This window comes from Homo sapiens, chromosome 20 (genome assembly GCF_000001405.40).
Source record: "Homo sapiens chromosome 20, GRCh38.p14 Primary Assembly".
In the NCBI taxonomy this organism is placed as follows: Eukaryota; Metazoa; Chordata; class Mammalia; order Primates; family Hominidae; genus Homo; species Homo sapiens.
In genome coordinates, this window is record NC_000020.11 from 36,646,396 (window position 1) to 36,665,814 (window position 19,419).

At 45.3% G+C, this 19,419-nt stretch overlaps 1 protein-coding gene across 12 annotated transcripts in view; it reads right to left on the reverse strand.

Moving 5' to 3' along the window:
• The window catches only part of NDRG3 (NDRG family member 3), a 94,320-nt gene continuing 80,276 nt past the window's right edge, over window positions 5,376-19,419 (reverse strand). For 6 of the 12 annotated variants that reach the window (XM_011528927.4, XM_011528928.4, XM_006723837.5 and 3 more), the window contains 7 exons: window positions 18,841-18,906; window positions 18,651-18,702; window positions 13,942-13,989; window positions 10,102-10,137; window positions 9,965-10,016; window positions 8,406-8,444; window positions 5,376-7,306 (listed from right to left, as the gene is read on the reverse strand). In XM_011528927.4, the coding sequence (XP_011527229.1) occupies window positions 7,125-7,306; window positions 8,406-8,444; window positions 9,965-10,016; window positions 10,102-10,137; window positions 13,942-13,989; window positions 18,651-18,702; window positions 18,841-18,906 (475 nt within the window). In that variant the 3' untranslated portion in view covers window positions 5,376-7,124. The remainder of the gene's footprint in view (window positions 7,307-8,405; window positions 8,445-9,964; window positions 10,017-10,101; window positions 10,138-13,941; window positions 13,990-18,650; window positions 18,703-18,840; window positions 18,907-19,419) is intronic. The other 6 variants (NR_038370.2, NM_022477.4, NM_032013.4 and 3 more) reach the window with 1 other exon arrangement.

Below are 19,419 nucleotides of genomic sequence, written 5' to 3' on the forward strand. Positions count from 1 at the left end.
ATGCTGGCCTGACCATAATAATCACTCAGCGGGACTTAATTGTAGCAATTTCTGGGATCTCCCAAACTTTCTAAATCCAAGTCTCCAGATAGGGAGCCCAGGAATCTAAATTTTAAACCCTGCAGGAGATTCCCTTGACTGACGAGTGTGGGAAGCACTGCCTTCTCAGCCTTTAATGTGTATAGGAATCACCTGGGGATCTTGTTGCACTGCAGGCTCTGATTCAGAAGGTCTGGGGCAGAGTTCAGTATTTTGCATTTCTAATACGCTCCCAGGTGACCCCCATGTTGCCAGTCTGGGGACCACACTTTGAATAGCAGCAGTATCTGGACAGTGGTCTCCAAGTATGGTCCCTAGACCAGCAGCCTCAGCGGGAATTTGTTAGACATGCAAATTCTCAGGCCGCATCCCAGATCTATGGAATCATACTCTGGAGGTAGGCCCAGCAATCTGTTTTCATGCCTCCAGGTGATTCCGATGCATGCCCAGGCTTGATTTTTTTTTTTTTTTTTTTTTTTTTTTTTTTACAGGGTCTTGCTTTGTCACCCAGGATAGAGTGCAGTGGCACAATCATAGCTTAGTGCAGCCTTGACCCAGGCTCAAGTAATCCTCCCTTCTCAGCCTTGAGTAGCTAGGACTACAGGTGTGCACCAGCACTCCTGGCTAATTTTAAATTTTTTTTGTACAGATGAGGTTTCACTGTGCTGCTCCATCTAATCTCAAACTCCTGGCCTCAATTGTTCCTCCCACTTCCACCTCCCTAAGTGTTGGGATTACAAGCATGAGCCACAGTCCATGCCCAAGCTTGAGAATCACTGGTCTAGGATAAAGAATCTGACTCTGGCTGAATTGTCTTTGATCAGTGTGTTACCTTCAGTCCCACTCTTCATTAAGATTTAACCACACCCTCTCGCTGCTTCCCCATTAGGGGGATTAGTACTCTTGGAGACAAAGGGCCCACTGCACTGAAATGATTCCTGACTCCAGCTCAGCCCATGCAGCCCTTTCTGGGGCCTTGCCAGCTACAGCACTCCTGCTCAGGTTCTCCTTTGATCCTAGGGAAGGCTGGTTTGATTTTTATCCTTGTAGGCACTTGGCACACAGAGCTGAAGGAGCCAGAGTGGAGGCACACTTCTGCAAGAGAGTTCTAATCAGGACGTTAGAATGGGTGACAGCCACTCAGGGATGTGGGCCTTGGCAGGGAGGGACTTGAGCTTGAGCCCACCTTCCCACTCCTGCTGCCATACAACTGTAATGCCCGTCTTCTTATGATACGCACATCTTCAAAACAAGCCTCAAGGTGCAGTTCATGAATGGGGCAGGAAGTAGGGAATCTCTGGTCTCTTCTTAAAAGAATCCCACGGCATAACTCTCCTTTTCTACTTAGGGAGGCACCTAAGAATTACAAAATTTAAAATCCTAGGTCTATCCACTAAGAAATATGCACTGGTGTTCCTCCCTGGCTCCTGGCCAGAGCTGCTAAAACCCTTCTAATTTCCTCGGTGACAGAAGTGTTTTCTGTTCTAATGAGGCAACACTTGGTGGGCTCCTGGATGGGGACTGGTCACTAGAAAGACAAAGCCATCATTATGAGCTTGGGGCTTTCAGTCCCACCTCATCCTCTGGAGTGGGGAGAGGAGCTCGAGATTGAGTTAATAATTGATAATGCTTATGTGATGAAGCTTCCATAAAAATCCCTAAAGTACGAGGTTCAGAGAGTTTCCAGGTTGGTGAACACATCCAACACACCAGAAGGGTGGCACACCCCAACTCCCTGGGACCCCTCCAGACCTTGCTCTATGTATTATTATTATTATTTTTAGACAGATTCTTGCTCTGTTGTCCAGACTGGAGTGGAGTGGCACAATTTAGGCTCACCGCATCCTCTGCCTCCCGGGTTCAAGCAATCCTCTTGCCCCAGCCTCCTGAGTAGCTGGGATTACAGGTGTGCACCACCACGCCCAGCTAATTTTTGTATTTTTAGTAGAGACGGGGTTTCATCATGTTAGCCAGGCTGGTCTCGAACTCCTGACCTCAGGTGATCCACCCGCCTTGGCTTCCCAAAGTGCTGGGATTACAGGCTTGAGCCACTGTGTCCAGCCTCCTACATACTTCTTTATCTGGCCATTTACCTGTATCCTTTATCGTATCCTTTTTTTTTTTTTTTGAGACAGAGTCTTGCTCTGTCACCCAGGCTGGAGTGCAGTGGCGCAATCTCGGCTCACTGCAAGCTCCGCCTCCCGGGTTCATACCATTCTCCTGTCTCAGCCTCCTGAGTAGCTGGGACTACAGGCACCCACCACCACACCCAGCTAACTTTTTGTATTTTTAGTAGAGACGGGGTTTCACCGTGTTAGCCAGGATGGTCTCAATCTCCTGACCTCGTGATCCACCCACCTCGGCCTCCCAAAGTTCTGGGATTACAGGCGTGAGCCACCGTGCCCAGCCTATCGTATCCTTTTTATTTTATTTTTTTCTGTTTCTAGAATACAGACAGGGTCTCACTATATTGCCCAGGCTGGTCTTGAACTCCTGGGCTCAAGCAGTCCTCCTGCCTCCCAAACTGCTGGGATTACAGGTGTGAGCCACTGCACCCAGCCTCATATCCTTTTGAATAATAAACCGGTAAATTCAGTGTTTCCCTGAGTTCCGTGAGCCATCTTAGCGAACTATCAAACCTGAGGGAGGGGGTCTAGTTTGTAGCCAGGTTGGACAGAAGTATGAATAACCTGGGGATCCACTGCTTGCACCTGGCATCTAAAGCAGGGGGCGGTCTTGTGGGCCTGAACCCTTAACCTGTAGGGTCTGTACTAACTCCAGGAAGCTGGTGTGGTAATTTAGGACACCTACTCAGTGTCTGGGGTGTTGGAGAACTGGTTGGTATATGGGAAAAAAGCTCACACATTTGGTCACAGCAGTGTTGGAAGTGTTGAGTGTAGTGGAGGAAACTGTTTCCCATATAGCCACTTACTAGTTTTGTGACCATTTACAAGCTAGTTATCTCTGGACCTGTTTCTGCATCTATAAAATGGGAATAGCATGTATCTCACTGGATCAATAGAAGGAAATTTATAGGAAGGCATTAAGGGCCTGGCCTATATATAGATGCTCAATAAAGGGCTGATTCCCACACCTGTAACCCTAGCATTTTGGGAGGCTGAGGCAAGATCACTTGAGGTCAGGAGTTCAAGTCTAGCCTAGGCAACAACGTGATATGCTGTCTCTACAAAAAATAAAAAATTAGCCAGGCATGGTGGTGCATGCCTGTAGTCCCTGCTCCTCAAGAGGCTGAAGTGGGAGGATGGCTTGAGCCCAGAAGTTTGAGGCTGCAGTGAGCTATGATTACACCACTGCCATCCAGCTTGGGTGACAAAGTGAGACACTGTTTCAAAAAAAAAAAAAAAAAAAAAAAAAAAAAGGGCCCAGCGCAGGGGCTCATGCCTGTAATTCCAGCACTTTGGGAGGCTGAGGCGGGCAGATCACTTGAAGTCAGGAGTTCCAGACCAGCCTGGTCAACATGGCGAAACCCCATCTCTACTAAAAATTAGCTGGGCGTGGTGGCACATGCTTGTAGTCCCAGCTACTCAGAAGGCTGAGACAGGAGAATTGCTTGAACCTAGGAGGAGGAGGTTGCAGTGAGTGGATATCATGCCACTGCACTCCAGCCTGGGCGACAGAGCGAGACTCCATCTCAGAACAAAACATAACCAAACAAAAAACAAAAAAAAAGGCAACTGAGGCCATCAGATCAGTTCCTTCCCATGTCAGCATTCTGTGGAGCATTGGCCTGCATTGTAAGGCTTCAGCCTGGTAATCTTTATCTGTTCATATGCATTTGTTTCAACTCCTCTGCCAGAATGGGCATGTCTTTTTTTTTTTTTTTTTTGAGACAAGAGTCTTTCTCTGTCGCACAGGCTGGAGTGCAGTAGCGCTATCTCCGCTCTCTGCTAGCTCCGCCTCCCGGGTTCACGCCATTCTCCTGCCTCAGCCTCCTGAGTAGCTAGGACTACAGGTGCCCACCACCACGCCCGACGAATTTTTTGTATTTTTAGTAGAGATGGGGTTTCACTGTGTTAGCCAGGATGGTCTCGATCTCCCGACCTCGTGATCTGCCCACCTCAGCCTCCCAAAGTGCTGGGATTACTGGCGTGAGCCACCGCGCCCGGTGGTTCATGTCATTTTTTACGAGTGCCTGTCACAGATGTAGCAATCCACATGCACTTTTGCTGGCACTTGCCCCGGGTTACTGAAAACTCATCTGAGATGGTGGTCTTCTGAAATTATTCTTTTTTTTTTTTTTTTTTTTTTTTTCTGGAGACGGAGTTTTACTCTTGTTACCCAGGCTGGAATGCAATGGTGCAATCTTGGCTCACTGCAATCTCCACCTCCTGGGTTCAAGCGATTCTCCTGTCTCAGCCTCCCGAGTAGCGGGATTACAGGTGCATGCCACCACGCTCGACTAATTTTTTTTTTTTTTTTTGTATTTTTAGTAGAGACAGGGTTTTATCACATTGGTCAGGCTGGTCTCGAACTCCTGACCTCCAGTGATCCGCCCGCCTTGGCCTCCCAAAGTGCTGGGATTACAGGCGTGAGCCACCATGCCTGGCTTTTTTTTTTTTTTTTTTTTTTGAGACAGTCTCGCTCTGTAGCCCAGGCTAGAGTGCAGTGGTGTGATCTTGGCTCACTGCAAACTCCACCTCCCGGGTTCAAGTGATTCTCCTGCCTCAGCCTTCCAAGTAGCTGGGATTACAGGCACATACCACCATGCCTGGCTAATTTTTGTATTTTTAGTAGAAACAGGGTTTCACCATGTTGGCCAGGCTGGTCTTTAACTCCTGACCTCAGGTGATCCGCCCACCTTGGCCTCCCAGAGTGTTGGGATTACAGGCGTGAGCCACTGCACTCGGTCTGAAATTATTCTTGATGGGTACAAATATAGCCATTTCTGGAGAAACACAAGCTGGTCTCTTAGAAGACAAGTGGTTGCAGATTATTAAAATGAGAGGTGGAACCCAGCAATCCCACACAGGTGGTGGAGCTGTGACGTGGACCACCTTCTCAAGACCTCAGCTTCTCCTCCTCCATCACAAACAACACTGTCAGGCTTCTCACGATTTTTGGCTTGAGGGAAATACAGACACATCAGATAGAATTCTGCATAATTCCCTGGGATTTGATCCTGGCTGGACTTATTGGCTGCATGACCTTGGGCAAATGATTTATCATCAGTCTTCATTTCCTCCTATAAATGGACAGTGTCGCTTGGTGGATAAGCAATCACATGTGAAAATGGCAACACAGAACCAGCATACAGCAACTCGGTCCTGCCCTGAACCCCAGTGAATGGCTTGAAAGAAATAACACCAGCAATCAGGTAACAATGAGACATATGCAGCTTTATTTAATAATCTGTAAAAAGTCATACTCTGGCAGAGTGATGCATTCCTTATCTCAGCAGAAAGCAAACAGTCTGTCTGAAAAGCCCCTTCCCAAGATTTGGAACTGTGTAACCCTGAGCTTACATCTCAATGCTCCCAAGAGCTGGGCTCTTGCTATGTGGTAGTTGGTCTCCACAATTCTCTCACCCTCCAGCAATACTCTCTGTCTGGCTGTGACTCCCTCACCTAACAGTAGACATGAGGCTGAAAACAACTTTACCTGGACAGGGCTACCCCTACAGATTGGCCCTTTCTCTCCTACAAAAGGGAGTTCATAGGATTAACAATCTTTCTAATGGCTGGGAGCAATGACTCATGCCTGTAATCCCAGCACTTTGGGAGGCTGAGGCAGGTGGATCACCTGAGGTCAGGAGTTTGAGACCAGCCTGGCCAACATGGTGAAACTCCATCTCTACTAAAAATACATAACTTAGCTGGGTATGGTGGCAGGTGCCTGTAGTCTCAGCTACTCGGGAGGCTGAGGCAGGAGAATCGCTTGAACCCAGGGGGCAGAGGTTGCAGTGAGCCAAGTTTGCGCCATTGCACTCCAGCCTGGGTAACAGCGAGACTCTGTCTCAAAAAAAAAAAAAGACTCTGAGAAATGGGTTCTGTATCAATTTAATTTGGCTTCCATTACATCTACTGAAATCAAGGCTATACTTGTTAAACATGATACTGTGTTAATGGCTGTTCCTCTCCCCCCACCCATTTCTCCCCCATCTACATGCTTTTTAGGCCAAACCTCTCCCCTTTCTGGGAACTGAGGAATGGAGACACACTCTCTGTCACAGACCTAAGAGGCACTTCTTGTGGATATGTGGATGTCTGGTATCAGATACTGCAGCGACAGCAGTTTTGCTCTTCAGAGCAGAGGCCTGGCATTTTGTTTCCACCTTCCTGTGCTAAGAGAGTCCAGTAATTAAACCACATTCACTCCTTGGAAAAAACTCTATGTTGTATCAGAACCTCAGCGATGGTTCATGGGCTTCCAGCAGAATATATTCCTCCCTTTTATTTATAGAAGAGTATACAGAAATTCATTTGGACAGAAGGAGCCTCTCTATGTAACAGGCACCCTTCTGCTACTGGTCACAATCAATCAATGGTCCAGACGGCAATTATGATTTTCCACATTCCTCAAAGCTGCTCTCTCCTGAAATCACTTTGCAAATTTTGTTGACCAATTTGCAAACAAAAGAGAATGCAGTGGCCTACCCAACCTAGAAATCTGTTCTGCCTAATTCCCTTAAAAACACCATTGAGAATGCAAAATAAGTCCCTTTTTTGTTTTTTGCAGAAGCACTACAAGAAAGCGTGTCTAAAACCACAGAACTATGCACACACAAACACAGACACGCGTGCTCGCACACACAGAGTCGGGATCAAAGAATCTTATCTGATACATAGTTGGGGGAGCACGGGAAAAAGCTGGCAAGAGAGGATATGGAGAGATCTGATCAGCTAAAGATGTTGGAATGTTACAGTATGGCATGGAAGTGGTTCTTGGGCTATACAAAAAAGGGGGTGGGCAGGCAGAGAGAATGATAAATCCAGGCTACTAGAGAGAGGTTCAGTGGCCATGCATGAGTTAAAGATAGTAGAGGCCAGTTTACTGGATGAAATGTTATATTATGGAGTGGTCATTTGAAGGATGGACTTGCAATGGTCCAGGGGAGGAGCATCTGCTTAGCAGGACACCTCCATGGTCTGGTGTCTGTCCAGGACATCAGGGGACTCACAGGATTCTTGAGTTCCATCTGACTGATTGCTGGTGACAGACCGGCTGAAGGGACTTTCTCCAGAGCCGAGGCTACTCGAGGTTGAGTGGGTTCGTGATCGGGCGAGCCGAGTCATGCTGGCAGATGGTACTGTAACAGAGAACCAAGGGGACTAGAAGATGAAGCCCCGGTTAAGCCCAGCTAACCTAGGAGTCTCATCAAAGTCTTTATGTTTAGCTTTTCCGACTCATTTACCATGACACCCAGGACAAGATATAGCCATCCCCATTTTGTATCATTTGCTCTAGGTGAGTGGCGATATGTGAGGCCACTTTAATCCTTTAGATCTGGTTGGAATCTCAGCTGATTGTAGTCACCGCAGAACAAGGGGAAACCCTAAATCCAGAGTATAGCCTCTTAACTATGCCCACACCATTCAGACAGTGACAGAATGGAGGCTTTGGGAACCCAAACAGGTAACCAAAACCTACAGTGCATGCAAGACTAAACCAAAAGAAAAGAAAGACACACACACAAGTATGAAGGTGTTTCACAAACACAGTGCAAGCCCGATACAACGAGACTACCATCCGTGTCCACAGGCTACCTTGCTACCAGGGAGGAGATTTGTAGGATGGTGCAGGTGAAGGGGAGGGCAGATTGGCTTGGAGCTGACCTCAACACAGGGATGAGGTACAGGTTGCCAGGGACAGAGAAGCAGGTGTTTAACTCAGACTCCTGTTCTGCCACTGCTTGACTCTAAGGTCCTTCCAGCTTGGCTGGGACTGGGCCTTACCTGGCATAGCCTCCCTGCCTATCGTCCTGGGCAGCAGCCACTCCCCTAGCTGTCATTTCAATGCTGGGGTCAAAAGGTGCTATCATCTGCAGAGTTCTCTGGGCACAGGCTCTGACCCTCCTATTTAGAGCCAAGGCTGCCCTTGGATTCCTGTGTCTGGAGGTTAATTCAAGGATCAGTAGGTGGTGGTGGAAGATGGGCCCTGCCTATCAAGTTTCAGCTGCTGCTGTGACCCTGGATTTAGGATGACAAGAGGAGGCCTGCCCCTTACAACCAGATCCTTTCCTCCTCCTGGGGGACCAGGGCTGGACCTGTAGGCTAAATCTCTTGGGGCGTACTGAGCCACGTTCTATCGGGCTCTCACTGCATAGGAAGACCGCGGACATGCTGCAGGCAGCCAGTGCAGCCAGGAGAGACTGGAAGGCGGGGCAGGGCCAGCACAGAGGAAGGTACCTGACTCGGTGCTCAGGTGACTGAGCTGCACATACGGGACTGGAAGCAGGATGGACACAGGAAAAGGCAGGTTAGTGACCCCAGAGTGCCAAGTGGCAACCTCAGCTGCCTGGTAGACACTGACAGAATACTCTAAGCCAGGGATAAAATTTTATTTTAAGGTCCCAGAGAGGAGGTGAGGCTGACAGATACTTCAATAACATCTCAAATGTTACTTTCCTCAACTAGACAAAGGCAATTGTTTTCCCCTCTGCTATAAACAGTCATCTTGCTTTGGATCAGAAGTGGGCTGGAAGATCAGCTATTTCATAGGAAAAGGATAAGAATGGACTAGGAGAGGGCCTCCTGCTCCTCCCAGTGAGCCACAGGGCTGTGGGTGTGGGCTCGGTTGGTAGCGGCTCACAGGCAAGGATGACACAGCCACTTGAGACAAGACATACATGGTCTGCCTGGCAGGTACAGGGCTGCACCCAGGGCCCAGCTGCCCAGAGCAGCTGACCAGACAGCTCGCCAATGACCATTATCCACACTAATACCAAAGACAGGAGAAAAATCACCCTACTGGGTAAAGAGCTCTGTACCTGGGTGAAAGAGTTTTTCTAAAAACTCCAAGAAAGGAGCAAGTGTAGATAATTCTGTGACCATGAAAAAGCTCAGAGGTCTTACAATACAAGAGACCAGGACAATGGCATATGATATGGACACACCCTTGGACTTGCTCTAAAACACTCTCCAAGTTCGTCCCCTGGGGTGGAGGAGACTTTACCAAGGATACTGCCCTTTTCTCCTGGAGTCTCCATTTCATTTCTCTAGGTCAGGAGTTATTAACCAGCTGAGTTTAAATGCAAATCATAATTTCAGATTCACACCTAGGACAGCCTAAGCTGCAGGGGTTCAAAATGTGGGCTCTGGAGTCAGACTGTCAGGGTTTGAATCATGGCCCTGCAGCTGAATTTTTACCCTTGGCAATGTGCTTAGTCTCTTTGAGCCTCAGTTTCTTCTTCTATAAATTGGCACTAATAACAGAATGACTTCTTAGATTAAGAATATATAGGTTGGGCACGGTAGCTCACGCATGTAATCCCAGCACTTTGGGAGGCCAAGGCAGGCAGATCATGAGGTCAAGAGATCAAGACCATCCTGGCCAACATGGTGAATCTCCGTCTCTCCTAAAAATACAAAAATTATTCGGGTGTGGTGGCACATGCCTGTAGTCCCAGCTACTTGGGAGGCTGAGGCAGGAGAATCGCTTGAACCCAGGAGGCGGAGGTTGCAGTGAGCTGAGATCACACCACTGCACTCCAGCCTGGCAACAGAGTGAGACTCTGTCTCAAAAAAAAAAAAAAAAAAAAAAGAATATATATTGCCTGATGAAAGTAAGTGCTGAGTGTTAGCTTACAAATACGGACAAATGAATGTTCCATAAACATTTCAGTTTCTACTTTGCTTAAGGCTAGCTGCCACAGAGGTTATATCTCAAGAATTGTGGGCTCCCAGATGTGAAACTGGCTCCCAATATTCCTAAATCGTTGCTAGATAGAAAGTTGTGTACTACTCACTGTAGCCCATTCCCTGCAAAAAGTACTTGAAGGCCTCGGTGAGCTTCCCAGGCTGGGGGGATAAAACAAGAGGGCATTAATTTTTGCATAGACAGAGAAGCAGAATTAAATGGGTGTTTAAAAAAAATTCTCCTTACCTGAACTACCTGGGGCAGTCCCCCACAGTCCGCCATCTAGAAAAGGAAAAATATGCAAGTCAGCTGGGACTTACCCTTAAGAGAATTGCTCTGAACACCCCAAGTCCTTTCAAACAGAACAAGATTGAATTCTAGGTTTTAATGTTTAACTGCAAGTTTGCATCTCAATGCACCTACGTACAAACATTTATAACCTTGGATGAAAATCTGAAATAATTATTACATACTTATTTATCAATAAGACTGAAGCCCTGACTTTCAGGCCCATGGTGGGAATTTTCTGTTGAGGTGATAGTGAAGTTAACCACTACTCTCAACCATGAAAACCACCTGAAGAAGGTTCCTTTCAGAGCCCTCGAACAGTGTGACCCTAACTTCTCTGTGCATCAAGCTTTCCAAGTCCCATTTCAACTCTACATTATCTTTCCTCCGTGAGTAAGGGCACTCTGCCATCAGGAGCTGATACTGATTCAGCCGGCTTGCTCAGTCAGCCACTTTCCTCTAATAGCTGGGTTTGGTAATGCTGCTTTTCACTTCATAAACATTTACAGCTGGTTATTCTCACGTGTGCAAGGATTTCTAGGGTATGGCTTCATTAGTGTGCCCTGGAATTACCTGAAGGACTTGTTAAAACTCAGATTCTTGGATTCCTATCCCAGAGATTCTGATTTGATAGGTTTGGGGTATGGTTCGAGATTGTGCATTTCTGGCCGCGCGCAGTGGCTCACACCTGTAATCCCAGCACCTTGGGAGGCCGAGGTCGGGGGGATCACCTGAGGTCAGGAGTTCCAGACCAGCCTGGTCAGCATGGTGAAACTCCATCTCTACTAAAAATACAAAAATTAGCCGGGCGTGGTGGCACACACCTGTAGTCCCAGCTACTCTGGAGGCTGACACAGAAGAATCACTTGAACTCATGAGGCAGAGGTTGCAGTGAGCCAAGATCATGCCACTGCACTCCAACCTGGGCGACAGAGTCCGTCTCCAGGAAAAAAAAAAAAAAAGGAACGTACATTTCTAATAAGATCTCAGGTGATTTGAATCTACTGTCCACAGAAAAGCGTTTTTAGGGCATGTTGGCCATAGGCCTGCTCTCTTTCTTCCAGCTGTTACACACTCTGGACTCAGATGGTATTCTTCAGGCTGACTGGCTTTTTTTAAAAAGGAACATGAACCCCATGGTTTCAATTCACTGGCATTAAAACTTATTATGAAGGGGGACTACTACTGAGGAGAATGCCACAGAAGACGCAGAAGTTTGAGATTAACAAGGGAGAGGCCCCTGAAAATTCTAAGCATAAGATTATAAACAAACATTTAACAAATATACAAAAAAACCAAACCAGCACAGACTGTATTTTCATGAAGTTTAGGAGCTGAAACCTGATTAGAACACAGAACAGTTCCCATATGCAGAGAGAATACTGGGAGAAACTATTTCCAAGATGGGTACCTATCAAATGGTTTGAGAATCAGTTCAATCTGCCATAGGAGTTATCCACTCTATTCTATGGTGTTGTAGATGGGCATTTTTGCGAAAAATAACTATGTCTATGGTTATTGTAGGGTTTAGTTTTATGCTTTTGTATATTGATTCAAACCTGAAATGAGAAACTAATTTGAAACTATAAACTTAAAAAAAAATTTTTTTTGAGATAAAGTCTCACTCTCGTTGCCCAGGCTGGAGTGCAATGGTGCAATCTTGGCTCACTGCAACCTCCACCTCCCAGGTTCAAGCGATTCTCCTGCCTCAGTCTCTGGAGTAGCTGGGATTACAGGTGCCCAGCATCATGCCCGGCTAATTTTTGTATTTTTAGTAGAGATGAGGTTTCATCATGTTGGGCAGGCTGGTCTTGAACTCCTGGCCTCAGCTTCCCAAAGTGCTGGGATTACAGGTGTGAGCCACCATGCCCAGCCCCTCCCCAAAATTTTTAGACCAGCCCATCAATTGCCTGGAGGGCAGAACATTTTGAATGTGGTCACCTCAGAGCATTAACTTCACATTAGATTTCTAGGAACTACAGGCGTTTGTGGTAACAGCACTTCCCTTTCAAACACACTTCAAAGGGAAAAGGAAGATGGCAGAGGTCTTTCAGACTGAAAATGTAGCAGTAAGCAACATACGATCGGCATTGAAATCTACAGTAGTCCAAGTTCCCAAGTTCAAACTAGAAGGTCAGCTACCTCAACACTTTAGTAGAGGCTCTAGGAAAAGCTAAGATGAAACAATGACAGGCAGAAACTCTTGCCTCGGTTATACTCAAAAGGGGAGACACTTGATACTAACTCTAGATATTTAGCATAAGAGTTGGTCTGTATTTGCCCTAAGAGAAAGAAAATGCATCCACCCTCATCATAAGAATTGTTACTAAAAGCTTCCTTACCAATACAGCAGGATTTTGCATATACAGAATTTACATCCATTATCTTCTCACAATATTAAATCATGTTGACGAAGTTTTTTTTTTTTTTTTTTTAGAGACAGGGTTTCACTCTGTCACCTAGGTTGGAGTGCAGCATCAGGAGCACAAATCCTCGAATTCCTGGGCTCAAGGAATCCTCTCGCCTCAGCTTCCTGAGTAGCTGGGGCTACGGATGCGCACCACCAAGCCCAGCTAATTTTCTTATTGTTTTTGTAGAGACAGAGTCTCACTATGTTTCCCAGACTGCTCTCGAACTCCTGGCCTCCCACCTCGGCCTTCCAAAGTGCTGGGATTATAGGTGTGAGCCACTGCACCCAGCCAAAGTTTTTAGTTACATGGGAAAGGCTATGTCATAAAGTTGAGGAAAACAGATACAGGGTTGTAAATACTCTTTGACAGGGTCTCATTCTGTCACCCAGGCTGGTCTCAAACTCCTGGACTCAAGTGATCCGCCCAACTCAGCCTCCCAAAGTGTTGGGATTATAGGTGTGAGCCACCGTGCCCAGCCCGTCTCTAATTTTAATGATGTAAAAATGTATAGGAAAAAGACAGCAGTATTTTACCAGAGGTTTGGGTGGTAGGATTACAAATAATTTAAATTTATTTTATTCCATATGCTTTCCTCTTTTTTGCAGTGTTTTACAATGAGAACATATTCAGGAAAAAAGCTTTATTTTATTTATTTGTTTATTTATTTTTGAGATGGAGTCTTGCTCTGTCGCCCAGGCTAGAGTGCAGTGGTGCAATCTCAGCTCACTGCAACCTCCGCCTCCCAGGTTCAAGTGATTCTCCTGCCTCAGCCTCCCAGGTAGCTGGGACTACAGGCGTGGGCCACCATGCCCAGTTAATTTTTGTATTTTTAGTAGAGACGGGGTTTCACCATATTGGCTAGGCTGGTCTCAAATTCCTGACCTCGTGATCCAACTGCCTTAGCCTCCCAAAGTGCTGAGATTACAGGTGTGAGCCACCGCACCTGGCCAAAAGGATTATTTTAAAAAGAGAATGAAGGCTGGGTGCGGTGGCTCACACCTGTAATCCCAGCACTTTGGGAGGCCAAGGTGGGTGGATCACGAGGACAGGAGATCGAGACCACCCTGGCTAACACGGTGAAACCCCGTCTCTACTAAAAATACGAAAAATTAGCCGGGCATGGTGGCACGTGCCTGTAGTCCCAGCTACTCAGGAGGCTGACGCAGGAGAATTGCTTGAACCCGAGAGGTGGAGGTTGCAGTGAGCTGAGATGGCGCCACTGCACTCCAGCCAGGGCAACACAGCGGGACTCTGTCTCAAAGAAAAAGAAGAGAATGAGATAACCAAAGAGAGGGAAGCTTTGCTCCTTTCTAAGCAATTATTCCAGAAAATATGATTAATCTGAAGCACATATAAGGGTTGGAAGTGAGGGAAGAAGGCACATTACCTTTAGCAAAGTTGTATTTATAGGGTTCAGGCGGGAATTGCATTCGACCTAAAATTTAAAAAAAGAGAAGAAAATAATTTTATGAGTTGCTAGGAAAAAAAACGAAATAGCTCGGTATGAGAATCATCTTGCAAGATCAACAGCTCAGTCTGGAGAAGGCTGAGCCAGCCAAAGAGATTACCAAAATACATAGTGGGAGATATATTTATTTATTTATTTATTTATTTATTTATTTTTTTTTTGAGACGGAGTCTCGCTCTGTCGCCCAGGCTGGAGTGCAGTGGCGCGATCTCGGCTCACTGCAAGCTCCGCCTCCCGGGTTCACGCCATTCTCCTGCCTCAGCCTCCCGAGTAGCTGGGACTACAGGCGCCCGCTACCACGCCCGGCTAATTTTGTGTATTTTTAGTAGAGACGGGGTTTCACCGTGTTAGCCAGGATGGTCTCGATCTCCTGACCTCGTGATCCGCCCACCTCGGCCTCCCAAAGTGCTGGGATTACAGGCGTGAGCCACCGCGCCCGGCCCGGGAGATATATTTATATGATATACTTTGATATTTCTGAGCAGATCTAAAAATTTCACTTATCTAATTTTCTGAATCTGTTACGTGTCTTTAAAAAACTACAAGCTGAATCTAAGTCTTCCTACTGACTAGCTATATAACATGAAAGTAGGTTACCTTACTTCTTTGAGAAATGGACTGGACCGTGGGTCCTCTCCTGCTGGGATCTTTTAATGGCTTCTGAGTACAACTGGTTCTAATGACTAAGCCCTGGGCACCTCCCTTACCTCACTTTTCACCTCTTTCCTTAGTGGGTTTGCCATTCTTTATATCCTCACTCTTTTCTATCTCAAGGTCTTTGGCTATCCAGTCCAAAGTTGAACTCTTCTCATTTTTCTCTCATGGAGTCATTTAATTAAGAATCACAGCCCTGTGCATTCACATGTCTGATATCGTGCACCCTTGTGTTCATGAAGGCAGGGATCTCAAAGAAAATGTTTTGGGGAGACAATCTGTTGGTTCCATATTATTTTAGGGCTATTTTGATCAACTGGATTTCTCCGTTTATATGTTTGCTAAGAACACACATACAAAACCTGTGCTTAGAATCTGGATCCAGCAGGGTGAAACATGTAATACAAAGCAAAATGAAACCACTGCAAACACTTCACAACTGAGCTGAGTGAACACAGAAAGGAGTGGGATTTCTACAGATAGATAAAGGGAAAAGGTGAGTGTTTGAGGACTTCCAGAATCAAGGCGAAAGCATAAGCAAAGCCCCAGGGGTGGAACGGAATGGCTACCGAGCCAAGTGTGAGGTGAGGTAGACTGAAAGTGAGGCTGGGGCACAGGCTGGAGCTGACTGTGGAAGGTAGGATGCCACAGAAGGTGTCTGAAGTGACAGGATCTAAGTTGTTTTTAAGAGAGCAGTGGCCTACATGATAGACTGCAAGTGGCAGCAAGCAGTGGTTAAAATTACCTAGGCAAGACCCAGTAATCCAGATGAACTTTTAGTCTGGGGATTGCGGGTAGGCAGGTATACAAAACTCTTCTAAAATCAGGGATAATATAAAAGTCAGGATCACCAAATCGGAGTTTTGATTTGCTCTATACAAAGGACAATGCAGGCAGTGACAAACAAATGTACCCGTTCACTACAGAATGCGCATTAACTCTAAAAGGTAGAATTTAAAAACTGGATCCCTAACTGCTAGGCACAGTGCTTAGAACATAGTAGATAGACTATAAATATTTTCTGGAAGAGTGAACTCTCAAATCTGGATTTAACATAATAAATCATGCTTTCCTTGGTTCACTACTTTGCAATTTCAACAACATTATAAGAAGTCTTGATACCTAGTAGAACAACCACAATCACTGTTTTTTCTTTTTCTTTTTTTTTTTTTTTGAGATGGAGTCTTGTTCTGTCTCCCAGGCTGGGGTGCAGTGGCACGATCTCAGCTCACTGAAACCTCCGCTTCCTGGGTTCTAGCAATTCTCTCGCCAAGTAGCTGGGATTACAGGTGCATGCCATCACACCCAGCTCGTTTTTGTATTTTTAGTAGAGACAGGGTTTCGCCATGTTGGCCAGGCTGGAACTCCTGACCTCAGGTGATCCACCAATCTCGGCCTCCCAAAGTGCTGGGATTACGAGCGTGAGCCACAACCACTGGTTTTTGACATCTACTTTCTCCTCAGCTGCCTGAATCTTACTCATTTTCATATTCTTCATAGCACTGAGTAAATAGGAGATGCTCAAAATATGATGTTGAATGAATAAGTAAGCAAGAATAGTTACTGCAGTTACTGACAATGACTAGAATTTGTAGAGTTTCTTCTTGCTCTTCCATGCGTGGATATTCCTCTTAATCCCCACACACTTGTGGGATAAAATGCTCTGGCAGGGGAACTAGGTTTGACTGTGTATGAAAGAGCATCTACTTGTGGTATAGACAGGGCTCCAGAATTCTCATAAACACTGAAGATGTGGAAATCAGAAAGAGGGAGAGGCCTTATCTATATGGCCAAATTATTACAGTCTTGAAAAATAACTGCAAAGGTTGCTTTAAGTCCACACAATTTAAAAAAGGCAAATGACTAGATCCAAGATGAACAGAAATACTAAGCATTGTAAGGAAATTCTGATTAGGAATATTTTCTAAAAATATTTTCCTGTATTAAGTATATATGTTCATTTAAAAATGCTTTTGACAGTTTGGCAGCATGTATCTCCACCTTTTTAGCCAGAAAACACTGACCTTTATAAAGTTGCTTCTTGATAAATTGGGGTCACCACTATAACCTTTTTACCTCTGGGGAATGTTTTTTGAGGAAGGGGAACTGAGGGTTATTGGCCTCTATGTGCAAGTCATGCCATGTATTTCACAACAGACACGTAGTGTTTTACAGGGCAGTTCAGGGAGATGCGAATGTTATCCTTTCACATCTGCATATTCTCACCCTACAAACATTTCCCCACTCCACAAACCTTCTCAACTATGTCTACACCTCTGATTATTTGCTAGACTTCCTTTCCAAAAAGCTTTACTCCATAATGTTTTGCTCTATTTAGGGCAGCCAAAGAAATCAAGTAATTTCACAGAGATATTTAGTTAAGTTATATATGCTGTAGGAAACACATAATTAGACATATGAAGAACTATCAACTTCATTTGTAATCAAATAAATGCAAATTAAAACAGTGAGATACTATTTTTAACCAATCGAATTAACTACTAATAAAAAAAAGATTCAATGCTAGACAGTGTGCAGTGAAACAGGCATGCTTATACAGTGCTGGTGGCAATATACTGGTATATCCTTTCTGGAAAGGAACCTGGCAAAATGTATTAAAGACTTTGTAAAGATGTATAATTTTGGACACATTAATTCCACTTCTGGAAATCCATCCCAAGGAAATAATCAAAGATTCAAAGATTTCCTAAGGATGTTCAACAGTAACATTATTTTTATTTTTATTTATTTTTTTGAGACAGAGTCTTTCTCTGTCTTGCCCAGGCTGGAGTGCAGTGGCGCAATCTTGGCTCACTGCAGTCTCTGCCTCCCAGGTTTGAGCAATTCTCCTGTCTCAGCCTCCCAAGTAGCTGGGAATGCAGGTGCATGCCACTACACCCGGCTAATTTTTAGTAGAGATGGGGTTTCACCATGTTGGCCAGGCTGGTCTTGAACTCCTGACCTCAGGTGATCCACCCACCTCAGCCTCCCAAAGTGCTGGGACTATAGGCATGAGCCACCATACCTGGCCAACAGTAACATTATTAATAATGCAAAATCAGAATTAATATGAGAACAAAGTTAAATAAATAGTGGTAAACCTACAGACATACTGATTATATAATGGAAAAATGCTATCAGTAGTGTTAAGTCAGGTGCCCAAATCTTGTATATTTAATATAATCAGGTCTACGTAAGGCAAAAAATAATACTCTGTCTTTAGGTAATGGGATCATGATTTTCCCCTCATCCTTCTATTTTTAAATTTTTTTCATAGTTTCTACAATGAGCATATATCATTTTTATCCAAGTGCTATGTCCTTCAGAAGGAGGCAGAGGTGGCCTTCCAGCCTGCTGGATTTATGGTGGTAATCTATTCCAGATTAAAGGCTGAGGCTGTCAGAAATCTGACAATAAGTAAATGGTGTTTAGTTGTACTACTTGCCACAAAGTGAACTACACAACACAAAGCAATCAAGAAAAAAACTGATCCCATCTAATGAAATCTAAGGATAAATTAATTTTCCAAAATGTATGACAAAGAGCAAACCCTGATATGTGCAATCAGAAAGAACAAAAACTAGTATTTACCGACTGTTTCTAGTGTGTCAGCAGTGTGTTACATACTTTTTTTTTGAGGCACGGTCTCACTCTGTCACCTAGGCTGGAGTGCAGTGGCACAATCATGGCTCACTGCAGCCTTGACCTCCTGAGCTCAAGCAATCCTCCTACCTCAGCCTCCAGAGTAGCTGGGACTACAGGCTGTCACCATGCCAGCTAATTAAAAAAATATATATTGTAGAGTTAGGGTCCCACTGTGTTGCCCAGGCTGGTCTCAAACTCCTGGGCTCAAGCGATCCTCCTGCCTCAGCCTCTCAAAGTGTTGGGAATACAGGCGTGAGCCACTGCACCTGGCCTACACATTTTATTACATTTTGATCTCATTCATCTTCACAGCATGAGGACATACTTACCACAGCCTCAACTGCAGGCGAATTGTCCCCTACCACCAGTAAAGTAGAACACCTAGGTAGGCAAAGTAAGAGGTGTCACTCAGCAAATAGGCACATAAATTCCACTGAACACCAAATTAGTCTATGAAAGTCTATGAACACCAAATTAGTCTATATTTGGCAAGTCAGCTGAGGAAACTGAGGAACTTACTTTAATGTTTTTGATTTGTTATCATTTTGGCCCAGTATGGGTCTTTCGATCTCCAGGTCTCTGCGTCTAGAAAAACAAAGCAGAAGCAATGCCCTTTTTGGGTAAAGTCATAGCAACTCAGGTTATTTTCTGGTCATAAACACCAAAATTTATCAAGGAATGCGAAACTATCTTTCCTTCACACCTGAGAAGGGAAGAGGCCCTATGACTTGGTTCTTGAGTCGCCATTTCAGTGGCATCCTGGGTGGTATGGAGCAGGAAGGAAGCTCTTGGCTCAACCCTGAAGGACTCTTTGGGATGCTACAAGGAGACAGCCTCAACACCCAACAGCAACACCACTGAAACTCTCAAGTCCTAAGTGTTTAATTAATGTATTTTTTTGAGACACAGTCTCAGTCTGTCACCCAGGCTGGAGTGCAGTGGCACGATCTCAGCTCACTGCAACCTCCGCCTCCCGGGTTCAAGCGATTCTCCTGCCTCAGCCTCCCAAGTAGCTGAGATTACAGGCGCCCGCCACTACACCCGGCTAATTTTTGTATTTTTGTAGAGATGGGGTTTCACTATGTTGGCCAGGCTGGT